The following is a 17,233-nucleotide window of genomic DNA, read 5'->3' as shown; positions in this document are numbered from 1 at the left end:
CCGCCCCTACTGGGAAGTGAGGAGCCCCTCTGCCCGGCCAGCCGCCCTGTCCGGGAAGGATGTGGGGGGGTCAGCTCCCCGCCCGGCCAGCCGCCCCATCCGGGAGGTGAGGGGCGCCTCTGCCCGGCCGCCCCTACTGGGAAGAGAGGAGCCCCTCTGCCCGGCCAGCTGCCCCATCCGGGAGGGAGGTGGGGGGGTCAGCCCCCGGCCCGGCCAGCCACCCCATCCGGGAGGGAGGTGGGGAGGTCAGCCTCCCGCCCGGCCAGCCGCCCCGTCCGGGAGGTGAGGGGCGCCTCTGCCTGGCCGCCCCTACTGGGAAGTGAGGAGCCCCTCTGCCCGGCCAGCCGCCCCGTCCAGGAGGGAGGTGGGGGGGTCAGCCCCCCACCCGGCCAGCCGCCCCATCCGGGAGATGAGGGGTGCCTCTGCCCGGCCGCCCCTACTGGGAAGAGAGGAGCCCCTCTGCCCGGCCAGCCGCCCCATCCGGGAGGGAGGTGGGGGGGTCAGCCCCCCGCCCGGCCAGCCGCCCCGTCGGGGAGGTGAGGGGCGCCTCTGCCCGGCCGCCCCTACTGGGAAGTGAGGAGCCCCTCTGCCCGGCCACCACCCCGTCTGGGAGGTGTACTCAACAGCTCATTGAGAACGGGCCATGATGACAATGGCGGTTTTGTGGAATAGAAAGGGGGGAAAGTTGGGGAAAAGATTGAGAAATTGGATGGTTGCCATGTCTGTGTAGAAAGAGGTAGACATGGGAGACTTTTCATTTTGTTCTGTACTAAGAAAAATTCTTCTGCCTTAGGATCCTGTTGATCTGTGACCTTACCCCCAACCCTGTGCTCTCTGAAACATGTGCTGTGTCCACTCAGGGTTGAATGGATTAAGGGTGGTGCAAGATGTGCTTTGTTAAACAAATGCTTGAAGGCAGCATGCTCGTTAAGAGTCATCACCACTCCCTAATCTCAAGTACCCAGGGACACAAACACTGCGGAAGGCCGCAGGGTCCTCTGCCTAGGAAAACCAGAGACCTTTGTTCACTTATCTGCTGACCTTCCCTCCACTATTGTCCTGTGACCCTGCCAAATCCCCCTCTGCGAGAAACACCCAAGAATGATCAATAAAAAAAAAAAATAATAAATAAATAAATAAATAAAATACAACCATTGATTATATCTCAGATTCAGTGGGGTGGGAGTTCAGGCAGGGCTCAGATGGATGGCTCTTCTGCCCCTTGTGGCATTGACTGAGGTCACTCGGTGGTATTCAGCTGGTAATGAGCTGGTCTGGAGGCTCCACTCACATGTCTTATGCATTGGCTGGGACAGCTCCGAGGCTGAGTGCAGGTGGGGACTGCCTGCTAGAGCTCCTATCTGTGGTTTCTCAAACATGGGGCCTCAGGGTAGTAGGACCTCTGCCATGGTGGCCCTAGGCTTTCAGAGTGTGTTCCAAGAGACAGAAAGTGGGAGCTGATTGTTTCTTAATGCCTAGCCCTGGACACTGGAGAGGTCCGTTTTTACTGTATTCTATTGGTCAAAGTAGTCACAAAGCCTTCTAAAATCAAGGGAAAGTGACTCAAAGCCCACCTATCTCTGGGAGGAGTGTCAAAGAATTTGCAGTCATCTTTAATGCACCACAATAAGTAAAATGAAACCCTTTTCTTCTTTTGAACTTTTAAAAATATTTTATATTTTTATTTCAATAGTTTTTGGGGTGCACGTGGTTTTGGTTACATGGATGAGTTCTTTAGTGGTATATTCTGAGATTTTAGTGCACTTGTCACCTGAGCAGTGTACATTGTACCCAAAATGTAGTCTTTTATCACTCACCCTCTTCCCAACTTCCCCTTCATCAGTCCCCAAAGTCCATTGTATCGCTCTGTATGTCTTTGAGTCTTTATAGCTTAACTCCTACTTATAAGTGAGAACATAACAGTATTTCGTTTTTCATTTCTGAGTTACCTTCTTAGAATAATGGCCTCCAGGCTGGGCGTGCTGGCTCATGCCTGTAATCTCAGCACTTTGGGAGGCCAAGGCAGGCGGATCACGAGGTCAGGAGTTCGAGACTAGCCTTGCCAACATGGCGAAACCCCATCTCTTCTAAAAATACAAAAATTAGCTGCGCATGGTGGTGGGTGCCTGTAATCCCAGCTACTTGGGAGGCTGAGGCAGGAGAATCATATGAGCCCGGGAAGTGGATGTTGCAGTGAGCTGAGTTTGTGCCATTGCCCTCCAGCCTGGATGACAAGAGCAAGACTCTGTCTCAAAAAAAAAAAAAAAGAAAGAAAGAAAGAAAAAGAAAAGAAAAAGAATAATTGCCTCCAGCTCCATCTGAGTTGCTGCAAAGTACATTATTTTGTTTCTTTTTATGGCTGAGTAGTATTCCATGGTGTATATATATCACATTTTCTTTATCCACTTGTTGGTAGATGGGCACACTTAGGTTGGTTCCATATCTTTGCAATTTCTTGCACTTTGTTTTGATGAGGTGGTTACTAAGTATAGCTGGTTCAATTTGCATAATCTCAGTGTGACTAAGTCACATGACTTCTATGTATTGAGGGCCTCCTCTAAGCCAGGCACCACTTACCAGAATCTCATCTGCATGATTTCTCATAATCACAACACCTTGAAGTGCAGATTCTATTATGCCCTCATCCTAACAGAGACCAGGAGAGGTTAAAGAACTTGTCCAGTGCCAGGTCTTCCCTCCTGCCCAGTCCCCTGACCTCCACCCGCCATGCTGCTTCTAGGCCTGCATTCCCAACACCCCCTCTTCCTGGTTGCAGAATCTTGGGTGATGCACCATGTGGATCCCAGATCTCACTGAATCCCTTTCCTGTACACTCCTGCAGCACCTCAAGTAACAGTCCAAGCCTCTCAGCCCGACTCACCTCATTTTCTGCTCCTCCCACCTTAAGCTTGGGATCCAGCAACACTTAACTGCTTCTGGGTGACAGGATCCCCAGGCCCCGCCACACCTCTGTGCCTTTGTGCCTGCTGCTCCCTTTGCCTGGAACACCCTCTCCTTGTTTTTCTACTTGGCAGGCACCTTATATCCTTTGAGTCTTAGCTCTTCTGTGAAGGCTTCCTGATGCCGCCATGTAGACTTGAGAACTCATTCCTTTGGGCCCTCATAGTGCCTGTGGGCCTCTGTTACAGCTTTTTCTGACAGGTAGGGACCCTGCCTTCTCATCTTTGCAACTCCACTATGTAGCACCATACCTGGCCCTCAGCCTTCCAGAATCTGTTCCCTAAATGAAGCTGCACTCCCTTCACCCATTCCCCTGGGCCAGCCCCTGGAGTTGTGTAGTTAAGCAGGGAGGTCCGGGCTTATGGCCAGATAAAGTAATTCTGAAAGGCAAACAGAGTGCCTTGGGCAGTTCTGCAAAGGCTTAGCAGAGTGGGGAGAGAGACTAGAGCTTTCCAGTTCTCTTTTGATGAAATGCAGGTTGCACATAATTTCCTCCTTTTTCTGGCGAGGAAAAAAAAATCTCCAGAAATCTATTAATCATTCTCTGGGCCTTTCCTTTCCCTGAGGTTTGGCCCCAGAAACAGGTAGAATGCAGAGCCTTCTCTAGCGATGGGGGCCAGGAGTCAGTGCAGACAAAAGAAAGCCTGGTTTAGTAACAAGGTTGAATTGTGTTCCCCCAAAAGATGTTGAAGTCCTAACCCCTAGTACCTGTGAATGTGACCTTATTTGGAAATAGGGTCTTTGCAATATAATCAAGTTAAGATGAGGTTATTAGAGTGGGCCCTAATTCAATATGACTGTGTCCTTATAAAAAGGGAACATTTCACCCAGAGACACAAACACACACACAGGGAGATGCCATGTAGAACATAAAGAGGCAGAGATCACGGAGATGCATCTACAAGCCAACGAACACCAAAGATTGCATCAAACCACCAGCAGCTAGGAGAGAGGCGTAGAACAGGTCCTCCCTCACTGCCCTCAGGAGGAACCAACCCTGCCAGCTACTTGGTCTCGGACTTCCAGCTGCCAGAACTGTGAGATCAGAGATCTCTGTTGGTTAAGCCACCCAGATTGCCATACTTTGTTATGGCAGCCCTAGCAGGCTACTAGAGGCTTCAACCTGAAGTTAGCAAGACCGAGCAGATGAGAGTGGAGAATGGGTGTTGCTTGGGAAGTGCCCAGGGCTGGCTTGTTTGCATGGAGACTTGAGGAACCATTCACAATTCCTGGGGATTCACACATAAAGAAAGAACATCAGCAGGTAAGCCCACCCTTCTGTCCAAGGTCTCCTGCTGCCTCTAGACCTGGCCAGGGAGAGCCATGGACCTTTCGAAAACCCTGACCTCTTCAGCATCGTCACTTGCTGGGGCCTCAGGCACCTCTGAAAATCAGAGAGTGGCCGCTACTTTACTGGGGGCAGAATAAATTTAAAGTGCTGTCAGCTTGTCTTCCAACTGTCAGCTCAGGCCATAACATTATATATTTTTCATCAATAATTTAACTGTCTCAGGAATAGAGGCTCCAGAGTAGTCCCCAAGGAGCGGACTAGCTGCATTCATTATTAACTGGGTACTTACAGCCTTGCCCTGAGTGCTGGGGGTTTCTGCTCTAGGCAATGCCTTCCCCCACTACTTCTCCCTTCCTCTCTCTGCCCTTCATTCCGTCTTCCCTTCCTTCCTTCCTTTCTTCTTTCTTTCTTTTCTTTCCTCTTTCTTTCTTCCTTCCTTCCTTCCTTTCTTTCTCTTTCTTTCTTTCTTTCTTTTTCTTTCTTTCTTTCTTTCTTTCTCTCTCTCTTTCTCTCTCTCTTTCTTTCTCTTTTTCTTCTTTTTTTTTTGACAGAGTCTTGCTCTGTTGCCAGGCTGGAGTGCAGTGGCGTGATCTTGGCTCACTACAACCTCTACCTCCTGGGTTCAAGCGATTCTCCTATCTCAGCCTCCTGAATAGCTGGGATTACAGGCACATGCCACCATGCCCAGCTAATTGTTGTATTTTTAGTAAAGATGGGGTTTCATCATGTTGCCCAGGATGGTCTTGATCTCTTGACCTTGTGATCCACCCGCCTTGGCCTCCCAAAATGGTGGGATTACAGGCGTGAGCCACCGTGCCTGGCTGCTAGTCATAATTTTTAAATGTATAACAATTTTTTTAAATTTTATTGTACTTTAAGTTCTGGAATACATGTGCAGAATGTGCAGGTTTGTTACATAGGTGTACATGTGCCATGGTGGTTTTCTCCCACAAATAATTTTATTTTTCTCAAAATGACTTTCCAAGAGAAAAATCATTATAGAATAGGCTGTTTTGGATCTTAAAAAAATAATGCAAGCATGACATTGTTGGAAATGACTCAATTAAACTAATCTTTTTTAAGCATGTGCTATGTGCACAACACTTAGTGGCACAGTCCCTGCCCTCAAGAACCTTACTTAGTAACATGGGGAACAATGGAAGGAGGAAGTGAGATTTGGCCAGAGCTGGGATGCTGAGAAGGTTTAAAAGAGACAAAAGAAAAAGAAAGAAAAAAAGAGATAGATGTCATCATAAGTTATGGGAAGGAGACAACAAACTTCTTAAAGATCTTTGAATTTTTAATTTTTGCCATCATATATCAATCCTGCAGTTTCCTTATTTTTAAAATCAGGTAATAATATTTGCTTGTGTCAGACAGCATAGGCTATTTTATGCTGCAGTAACAAAGACTCCCAAAATCTCAGTTGTTTAATAACACTAACATTTGGCTGGGTGCGGTGGCTCACGCCTGTAATCCCAGCACTTTGGGAGGCCGAGGCAGGTGGATCACCTGAGGTGAGGAGTTCGAGACCAGCCTGGCCAACATGGTGAAACCCCATCTCTACAAAAATACAAAAATTAGCCGGGCATGATGGTGGGTGCCTGTAATCCCAGCTACTTGGGAGGCTGAGGCAGGAGAATTGCTTGAACTCGGAAGGCAGAGGTTGCAGTGAGCCAAGATCATGCCATTGCACTCCAGCCTAAGCAACAGAGCGAGACTCTGCCTCAAAAAATAAAAATAAAAATAAAAATAAACCACTAACATTTGTCTTTCACTCATGCAAAATGCCCACCGTGGGTCCAGTTAATTCTCCAGGGCAGCTGTTCTCCATGGATTGTTTCAGCTTTCCAGGGATGTTTGGTCTTAAGGCACCTTGATATCAACATGTAACAGGAGAAGATGACGTTTAAGTGCTTCCATGCAGACATAAAATGTGTCCCTTCCATTTACATTTCACTGGTCAAAGCAAGTCAGATGGAGAAACCTAATTTCAAAGGGGCAAGGAAGCACTATCCTCCCTGCTGGAAAGACAGGAGAACCTGACGTGTTGGTAACCAGCAGTGTGTCACTCTGCTGTCCCAGAGGGTGGATGTGATGAATCAATGGGATTGAGTAATTCTTGAGAACCACACAGCCATACTGAGAGGGGACTGCTAAGAGGTCAGTTAACCCCACTTACACTAAGTGACTAACTCCTGCCCACCAGCCGGGGGGATACAACTATAACTGGTGAGTCATTAGTTACTGCAGGTTTTGGAACTTCCATGTCATTCTTCAGGAGTTGAGATTCAAGTTTTAAATTTGAGAATACAAAAATTCTCTGTGTGTGAAATGAATAGACATAGTGACTTCAGACAACTTATAAAGTCTATGAAAATTTATGTTTCTGTTCCTTTATATTTTCACTCCTTCTGTCTTAGTCTGTTCAGGTTGCTATAACAAAAATATCATACACTGGGTGGTGTAAATGACATGTATTCCTCACAATTCTGGAGGCTAGAAGTCTGAGATCAGGGTACCAGCATGGTCTGGCTGTTAGTGAGGGCTCTCTTCCTGGCTGGCAGGTGGCTACCATCTCACTGTGTCCTCACATCGGGGAGAGGGAGATTCTCTCTCTCATGTCTCCTTTTATAAGGGTACTAATCTCATTCATGAGGGCTCCACCCTAGTTTGGAGATGCCACCTCCAAATACCATCACACTGGGGATTAGACTTCAACATATGAGTTTTTTTGGTGGGGGACATTCAGTCCATACCACCTTCCAGCTGCAACCCCTAGAGCAAAACAATAACCCCAAACAGCCCTGTGCTTTATTGCGTAACACGACAGACACTCGTGAAATCTCTTTCCTCGTGTTTAGGGCCTTTGCACTAGCGTCAAGCTAGCTTCAATTGTCCCTAGAAGGACGTTAGGATGAAGAGACATTCCAACCATATCATGAGAGAGGTTGTTTTGGTTTAAATTGTACATTTTCCATTCACACCCTTCTTAAAGAGATTTAAAACCACTCATTATTTTCCAGGCCTACCTGATTTAATGGGGGTGTAATTTATTATTTATTTTATTTTATTTTAGAGATAGGATCTTGCTCTGTCTTGCTCAGTGGCATGATCATAGCTCACTGCAACCTCCAACTGCTTGTGCTCATGGTATCCTCCTGCTTCAGCCTTCTGGTAGCTAGGACTATAGGGTGAACCACCATGCCCAGCCAATTTTTTTTGACAATTTTTTTTTTTTTTTTTTTTTTTTTTTTTAGAGAGACAAGGACAAGGTCTTGCTATGTTGCCCAGGCTGGTCTTGAACTCCTGGCCTCAAGCGATCCTCCCACCTCAACCTCCCAAAGTGCTGAGATTACAGTCACGGGCTCTTGCACCCTGCCATGTGCAATTTTAAAATGTTCTCAGTGTTCTTGGGAAAGGCTACTTAATAATTAGCCAACTGTTATTTCCCCTTTGCTCTCTGTAATTACATTTCTTTAACAGAGGTAGGAGGAGGGCTGTTAGACAAACAAACCCAACAGGTAAAAGCAATATTAGGAAGAGAAGGGAAAATTCGCCAATCAGAGAAAGACTGATAGGAAAGGCAGACACAGGGAGCTAAGTATGAACTCAGCCCATGGGCACCGGCAGGAGGAACTTGAAGGAGTGAGAGGCAGTCAGGGAGTAGGAATGCTCAGAGAATCGGTGTTTCTGGTTAAGTAAAAATTAAGAAGGAATTGAACCCTCATATTAGTCTGTTCTCACACTGCTAATAAAGACGTACCTGAGACTGGGTAATTTATAAAGTAAGAAGTTTAATTGACTCACAGTACTGCATGGCTGGGGAGGCCTCACAATCATGGTGGAAGGCGAAGGGAAAGCAAGACATGTCTTACATGGCAGCAGGCAAGAGGGCATGTGCAGGGGGACTCCCCTTTATAAAACTATCAGATCTGGTGATACTTATTCACTACCACAAGAACAGTATGAGGGAAACCGCTCCCATGATTCAATTATCTCCACCTGGCCCTGTCCTTGACACATGGGGATTATTACAATTCAAGGTGAGATTTGGGTGGGGACACAGCCAAACCATATCAACTGTTTTAGCAAAAAGTTCTCCAGAATATACACTTTCCACTTTCCTGCTGCAATGTGCAGAAAATAATAGAACCGAGGATGGTTGACTCATCCACCTTAGAACATATACACCAGCCAGCAATTGCACTCTCATTTGTGAGATCACTGGAGTCACTTCTTTTTCCACTGGCCAGTAGGCTCCAGGAGAAAGGGGACCAGGTCAGGTTTTGCTCACTGTAGTGACCCCTGAGCTTAGCATATCTGGTACATGATGATAAGCTTTGAGTTCATCTTGGCTGACTGAATGAATAAACAAGTTTATTACAAACAAAAGTATCTGACAATGCCCAAGGCTTTTATTGGGAACATATGTTCTTATGGACGAATCCTTGGATGCCATGATATGGAAGGCAGGGTATGACAGGCAATTCAGCCTGCCGGTGTGGAGCAGCCTTGAGCACTGCACTCCTGGGGTTCAAACCGTATCTTTGATATTTAACAGTATGTGACCTTGGGCAGGCTTCTAACCTCTCAGTGCCTCAGTGTCCTCATGTATAAAGTGGAGATAATAATGCCTATTTTATAGAGTTGTAACAAAGGTGAAATGAATTAACACTCTTAGAATAGTGCCTGGTAAGCGCCCGGGAGTATAAGAATGCTGGCTATCATCATCATTGTTGCTCAGTCAAGCTAGAAAATGGTTTTGGATAAATTCCTAATGTGAATTTGAGACTCTTTTGCTCTTTTTAAGGAATTTGGCTTAAGCTTCAAATTTCAGCCATTTTTATCATGTTCATTGAGGTTTTATTGGAAACCATTGGTACAAAGGAGGTTCAGTTCAACACAGTCTGTGGGAAAGTGATGCTCTCGCTTATGATTTCATTATATTTATGAGGCTTACTTAGCAAATGCTCTTAATTATGACCTATTATATTGGGGTTCTTTTCTGGCTACAAAAAATATGCTCACAGATTCCATCCAAGTTGCAAGCCCTCAGTTATGGTCCTTTCTCTTTTCCTCTTTTGACATTTTTATACTATGTTACGTTGGCTAAGCTAGAACGAGGTTTGTCACGATCCCCTTCTCCCTGTGGTTCCAGCTTAGACTTAGCCAAAGAGAAACAGTGTGTGAGATTTGGAGGGTAGAAGGGAAACAGTGACCAATGTTTTCGGAAAGTCATTGTGATTTCAGTGCGGAGAAAGACCAATGCAGACATGCTGGCAGATTCCAGCTTGTCCTCACTCTCTCTGGCTCTGTGACCACCTCTTCCTCCTGATCATTGGCCTTGCTGACCAACAGCAACTCCAAGCCACACCCCCACACACAGAGGCCACAGCCCCCCCTTGGTCCCTACCAGCTTTCTCATCATCCCACTCCAGCAGCCAGATGTACCTGGCTCCCCAGGTTTCCCGCAAGCTCTGACTTGCCCATCCATGTCACTGCTTTGGCAGAGCTTCCAGCCCCTCCTTATCAACCCCTCTTCATCCGTTCCTCCCACAATTCTGTGAGGTCCTGGGCATTTAACAAACCCCTTATTCTGCACTACGCATAGTGGTTATGCTTTGCAGATTGAACCTCGATTGTTGTTGTTGTAACTGGTCTGCAAACAATGGCCATTCGTGAGCCATACCTCCTGATCATCACATCTTTGTAAAGTTCCCCCTACATTGAATCTGGCTGACCCTGTGGGTCTTTTGAATGAACAGAATACAGGGGAAGTAACACACGCTTCTCATGGCTCTAAGATTCAAGAAGGCCTGGTGACTTCTACTTCGGCACTTTCAGGAACCCTGAGCCACCATGTAACAAGTCCTGCCACCCTGCTGGAGATGCCATGTGGAGAAGCCTGGAGAGGAAGAAGCCCCAAGACTATGGAGAGAGGGGCCTGCTGTCCTAGTACCGGGGCTGAGCCCAGCCTCCCAGCCACCTTCACCAAAGAACAGGAGAAGACATGCACATGGAGCCTTCTGGGATGTTTCTGCCCCAGCATTTGATGGCACATGCAAGAGATCATGAGTAAGGACAGAAGAAAAACTGACCACTGAGCCCCAGACGACCCATAGTACCTTTGGTTAAGAGTAGACAAGGCAGACATCTGAGCCTGCATGACTCAGCAAGTTTAGGGTGCAGGCACATACTCCACTTGTTGTATAACCTGTTTGTGTAAGCTGATACTTGCCTTGGAGCCACTATTGTCTGTAAAAGGTATAACTGCCCTGCTGACACTGTGCATGGGGGACATGGCTTGGCTTGGCTCTTGGGCATGGCTTGACATGGCTCTTGCGCTCATGCCCAGAGAGAGAAGGAGATAAACTGCTGACCCTGAAGGGAGAGCTGGCCACACAGCTGTGCGTGGGGGCAGCCGCAGCAAGCAGCCGAGACAGAACAGACAGTGTAGAAGAGCTGCTGATGAGCGAGCTGCTGAATAAAGCCATATTTCCCCTACTGACAGCCCCCCGAGTGTTGTTTCAGCTATCTGCCATTCATCCACCCACTTCCTTCAGACCTCAGCATGGGCTGGAACTTGGACTTGAACCTGACACAGAAGAAGCAAGAAAATAGTTGTTTGGCTGGGTGCGGTTGCTCACACCTGTAATCCCAGCACTTTGAGAAGACAAGGTGGGCAGATCACTTGAGCACAGGAGTTCAAGACCAGCCTGGGCGACACAGAGAAACCGTCTCTACTAAAAATACAAAAATTAGCTAAGCATAATGGTGCGCACCTGTAATCCCAGCTATTTGTGAGGCTGAGGCATGAGGATTGCTTGAACCCGGCAGGGGGAGGTTGCAGTGAGCCAAGATGGCACCAATGTACTCTAGCCTGAGTGACAGAGGGAGACTCTGTCTTAAAAAAAAAAAAATAGTTGTTTATAAGCCCTTTCTATTTTGATATAATTATAAACTTACAGAAAAGATATAAAAATAACACCCCAAAAAATCCCACATCTTTCATCCAAATTGCCCAAATGTTAAACAATTGCAGGAGGACAGGGCAAATGTTAAAAGTTAAAAGTAAGTTGCATACCCCTATATAAGGCAATGTGTATCTCCTAAAAGCAAGAAAATTCTCTTACATAAACACAGTATAATTATAAAAGCCAGAAAATTACATTTTTATAATGCTATTATCTAATCTACAGACCTTGTTCAAATTTTGCCAATTGTCCCCAAAATGACCTTTTTTAGCAAAAGAAAATCCTGGATTATGCATTGCATTCTCTTGTCATGTCTGTATAACCTCATTTAACCTGGGCCAGTTCCCAGGCTTTCTTTGCTTTGCATGATATTAACACTTTTGAAGAGTACTGGTCACTTAGTTTATAGAATGTCCCTCAACTTGAATTTATCTGGTATTTTCTCACAATTAGATTCAGGTTACACATTTTTTGGCAGAAATACAACAAAAGAGATTTTGTATTTTCTCAGTGCATCATATCAGGAGGTAAGCAATGTCGATTCATCCCATTACAGGTGATATTGAACTTAAATATTAGGTTATGATGGCATCTGACAGTTTTATAAATTTACTCAGTATAAAGTTATGGGTTTTTTGTTTGTAATTAATAAGTATTTTACAGAGTGATGCTTTGAGACTGTGTAATGATCCTGTTGTTCATGACTCTTTGAGCCACTAGCTTTAGTATCCATTGATGATTCAATTGATTAAACAATTTCTACCATGATAATTGCAAATGGTGATTTTCTAATTTCATCACTTCTTCTATACTTATTAATGAGCATTCTACTGCAAGAAAGAGATTTCCCTTTTCCCCTACTTACTTAGTTATAACAGTTTTAACTAAGTGATTTCCATTTGAGTCAGTGGGTTATAATCTGTTAATATCATGATGTATTCTGATGCTTAAATTCCCAGATTTGGCCTTTGAGAGCCTCTTCCAACTGGTCCCAAGTCCTTTTCATATGTTCCCATGATTCTCTGAGCACTTACATACTTTTCCGGCAGAAGATGTTCCAGGCTCATTTTGTATTGTCCTTGCCCCAGCCTTTGAATCATTTTCCTAAGGAGTTTTGGTTCTTTTTAGTGAGGAAAGTATTTAGAAACCAAGATCTTGGTGATAGGCATGCTCATTGCTACTGAGCATCATTGCTTTTTAGCCCTCTTAGTGACCAGACCCAGTAAATATATATATGTGTCCACGTGCACACACACATATATACCCACACTTTATCTATTTTTATATCTATCTCTCTATATTAAAAATGATTAGTTCAAACCATGAGTTCATAACCTTATGGAATAACTCCATAAGGTTTCATTCTAGCTCCCTCCCTTTTCATATTTGTTAACTTCCTTTTCTAACGGTGAAAAACCTGGCTCCTATTATCTATGACATATTGTCTTATTTTCTTAATCCTAAAATATACAGAGAATGCTTTCAAAATTGTTAACTCATACCTCTGCAGGAGAAAAAGCAAACCAAAACTACTGACTTGCATTCAATGTTTACAGTTTTTGCCTGGCAAAGTCCAAATACTTTCTTCAAAAGTTGCTCAACCTGGACATGGCGGCTCATGCCTGTAATCCCAGCACAATGGGAGGCCGAAGCAGGAGGATCACTTGAGTCCAGCAGTTTGAGAGCAGCCTAGGAAACATAGCAAGGTCCAGTCTACAGAAAATCTAAAAATTAGCTGAGTGTCATGGTGCACGCCTACGATCCCAGGTACTCCAGAGGCTGAGAGGCGGGAGGATCACTTGAGTCTGGGAGGTTGAGGCTGCAATGAGCTGTGATCACGACATTGCACTACAGCCTGGGCGATGGGAGTGAAACCCTGTCTCAAAAAAAAAAAAAAAAAAAAAAAAGGAAAAGTTGCTCAAGGTAATTACAGTTTTGTTCCAAGTCATTAAGTTTTGGAGTGGTTTATTTTGCAAAGGACAATAGAATGACTTTGCAATTTAGTATTTATCACAGGTCCATTGTGAAAAAGAAATCAGGCAGGACCTAAATGACATTAGGCTATGGGAAAATAAGTTTCATCTGACCCATACAGCAATAGGCATTTATTATGTAAGTTACCTCTTGGGTGAATCTGGGAAGGGTAGTGCTGGCCTTGGGCCTAATTGTGAATCAAGTGTGTTTATCTTAGACATCTCATCTTTCTTATTTCTCCATCATTCTTATCTCTCACTGCCCAGATACTTAGTGCTTTGTGGCTACTCAGAAGAGTCTACTATGGTTTCCCAGCTCTACCTAGGTCTTTCTGCCAATAATCCATCAAGCTTTCCAATCTCTCAGCTGTGAATGGCTCGTGAATGCGTGGGAGGATAGCTGCCCAGTTAAATTCAAAATGGGCCGGGCGCGGTGGCTCATGCCTGTAATCCCAGCACTTTGGGAGGCCGAGGCGGGCGGATCACGAGGTTAGGAGATCGAGACCATCCTGGCTAACATGGCGAAACCCCGTCTCTACTAAAAATACAAAAAATTAGCCGGGTGCGGTGGTGGGCGCCTGTAGTCCCAGCTACTCGGGAGGCTGAGGCAGCAGAATGGCATGAACCCAGGAGGCGGATCTTGCAGTGAGCGGAGATCGCGCCACTGCACTCCAGCCTGGGCGACAGAGCGAGACTCCGTCTCAAAAAAATAATAATAATAAATTTAAAATAAATAAATAAATAAATAAATAAATTCAAAATGAAGGGTGAGACTATGAGCCAACCAGTCAGGTACATTTTCTAGGGTACTTGTGTACTGCACGTAATTAAACTCAGGCCCTGGGGGAAGGGTGGAGGGAGATTTCTTTGCACAGCACTTCCTGTCCTGACCCATGCCCCCTTGCCTACTTAATCTGTGGGCTAGAATTGTCCTGCTGGGAAGAGCTAGAGGAAATCTACATAATGTACACTGGCTTGAAATCTATTACAGATCTTTATCTATCGCTTGAATGGTTTAATACATAAGTAAATACATTAAATTTATATACAAACTGAGAAGTTCATGTGTAGTTACATTTCTATAGCTCTTGATTCAATGAATGTCCCTGCTATATACAAACTGAGAAGTTCATGTGTAGTTACATTTCTATAGCTCTTGATTCAATGAATGTCCCTGCTGTCGACCACTTGAGCAATACATGAAGCCATGTGTTAGCTGGAAAAAGTGGTCAATGGAAACTATAACAATTCCCCCACGTGCCACCATCGCCACCACAGGGTGAAATAATAGCTGTGACTCTTCAAACGAAGGCGTTTGAAGAGAACACCTCATGGAGCTGCTGACCGGCTCTGGCACATGGGGCATTGCGTGCCTTGAGCAGGATGGAAGGTGCCCAGAGGGCAGTGCAGTGGGCTTCAAAAGCAGCTGGAGGGATTCCTTACTGACAACAGAGCAATTTCTCAGGGTTTTCAAAGCATACTTAGGGGAGCAGAACCTTATAATAAGAACAGTGCTTCCTTTATAATCAAGAAGAGCGTTTAGAGTCATTTGATTTGAATTTTCAAAGAAACACAACTTTATTTTGTACCCCAGACTGGGAAGGCAGGGCATAATTCCTGATATAATGCCATATCCAGTGAGAAATGGTGCCTGCCCATCCGAATGGTTCTCTGCAGCTAATTTCACAAGTGTCTCAAGGGCAGAGCATGATAAGTGAGCAAAATGAATTTCAGTTTTATGGGGATATTCACAGGGAGTTACATTGCAAATTAACAAGCCAAGACTGAATTCGGAGGGATGATTAGAGTATCTGCCCAGCCTATCTTCTATGGCAGAGCTTCTTGAGGTTCAGGGATGGATTTCAGAAGATCCATGCCTCTCTCCAAAATTACATGGGGTTTTATTTATTTATCTTTTTCTGAGGCAGGGATTTTATTTAGAGCCGTGCTTATATATTTATTATTACTATTTTTAGAGAGACAGGGTCTCATTATGTCTCCCAGGCTAGTCTCGAACTCTTGGGCTCAAGCAATTTTCTTGCCTTGGCCTCTCAAAATGCTGGAATTATAGATGTGAGCCACCACACCTCGCCCTTTGTTTTTTCTTTTGAGACAGGTTCTCACTCTGACGCCCAGGCTGGAGTGCAGTGGTATGACATGGCTCACTGCAGCCTTGACCTCCTGGGCTCAAGCAATCCTTCTGTCTCAGTTTTCTGAGTAGCTGAGACCACAGGTGTGTGCCACCATGCCCAGCTAATTAAAAAAATTGTTTTTCATAGCAATGGGGTCTCTCTATGTTGCCCAGGCTGGTCTTGAATGCTCAAGCAATCTTCCCGCTTTGGCCTCCCAAAATGCTAGTATTACAGGTGTGAGCTGCCATGCCTGACCTTGTACATTTTTATGAGGAGAATGTCAGTAACTTCTTTTCCCCCTCATCTACATGTGTTGTCAAGTAACTTTCTTTGGATTTTCAAGGGAGTCCTTGAAAGTTAAAATCTTGATTTAAATGAACATTTCTGAAACTGTCTCCTGAGACAACCATGGAAAGTGACCTCTACCTGAAGGATATCTTCTCACGGCCATGTTCAGATTTTGACATCACCACCTGCTCAACTTGTGACAGAGAGTAGAGCACCATGACAACTTACAATTGCCATGACTATCGGCTAAGGGCTGAATGTGCATGTCTCCCCAAAATTCATATGCTGAACCTTAATCCCGGTGCAGTGGTGTCGGGAAAGGGGCATCAGGGAAGTGATTCGGTCATGAGGATGGAGGCTTCATGAGTGGGATTCATGCTCTTGCAAAAGGCCTGAGGGAGCTTCTTGGCCCCTTCGACTGTACCACTGTATGAGGACCTTGGGAGGCACCATCTATGAGGGGCAGGGCCTCACTACACTGAATCTGCCAGGACCTTGATAGTGGACTTCCCAGCCTCAGAACTGTGAGCAATAAATCTCTATTGTTTATAAATTACCCAGTTTAAGGTATCTTGTTGTAATAACTCAAACAGATGAAGACACTATCTCTGCTCCCTTAGTAGGAGTTACTTTCCTTCTTTTTTTTTTTTTTTTTTTTTTTTTTGACAGTGTCTTGCTCTGTTGCCCAGGCTGTAGTGCAGTGGCACGATCTTGGCTCACTGCAACCTCCACCTCCTGGGTTCAAGCAATCCTCCTGCCTCAGCCTCCCAAGTAACTGGGACTACAGGCACAAGCCACCATGCCCGGCCAATTTTTTTGTATTCTTAGTAGAGATGGGGTTTCACCATGTTGTCCAGGCTAGTCTTGAACTCCTGACCTCAAATGATCCACCTGCCTCGGCCTCCCAAAGTGCTGGGATTACAGGCATAAGCCACCATGCCTGGCCTACTTCCCTTCTTAAAGAGAATATTTGAATGCAAGTGAGGCTGGGTGAAATAGCTAATTGCTCTCAATTTATTTTGAAGAGAAAATCAGTTCCAAATAAATTATTTTCAAAATACCTCATGTTGGGTTGAGACAGGCTTGAGAATAAATGTTCTGTGGAACAATGAGATGTTCTCTGGGGGAACAATGAAAAATAAGAGTGAATTATGTAGTATGTATGACTGGATGAGATTGTGGGCTCTGGGGCAGACTGCCTGGATGCAAATCCTGGCTCTATAGCCTCCTAGCTGTACAATCTTCGTAGGTTATTTCACATCTCTGGGCCTCAGTTTCCTCATCTATAAAATGGGATGAGAATAATGGTACTGACTTTGTAGGGTTATGTGTGAGAATTTTTTTGAGTAAATACTTTGTCAAGCCCTCAGAACAGTGCCCAATATACAGTAAACAGCCAACAGAGGCTGTTATTATCTTCCCCAATGATTTGATCCACTACATAGTCAAACTTGTCAGTTCAGAGTCAGTTGATTGCTGGTCCAGACTCAAATTTTGAATTAATTTAGGATTCTATTGCTATGGTAGAGAAGAACTCAGTTAAGTAATAAGTTGGTGGAGTAATCATTTTAGAAGGAGCTCAGGGAGTAGATAAATTTGTCAGGGAAACCC

The 17,233-nt window shown here is 45.0% G+C and overlaps 1 annotated feature.

Moving 5' to 3' along the window:
* Positions 8,376–8,689: a transcriptional cis regulatory region, noted in NCBI's record as "candidate enhancer chr8.2573 targeted for multiplex CRISPR interference". NCBI's record gives its function as "positively regulates FBXO43 gene expression in K562 cells {active_cell/tissue: K562}" and the evidence as "EXISTENCE:mutant phenotype evidence [ECO:0000015][PMID:30612741]".

This window comes from Homo sapiens, chromosome 8, assembly GCF_000001405.40.
Source record: "Homo sapiens chromosome 8, GRCh38.p14 Primary Assembly".
Lineage (NCBI taxonomy): Eukaryota > Metazoa > Chordata > Mammalia > Primates > Hominidae > Homo > Homo sapiens.
This window is presented reverse-complemented; position numbering and strand designations above follow the sequence as displayed.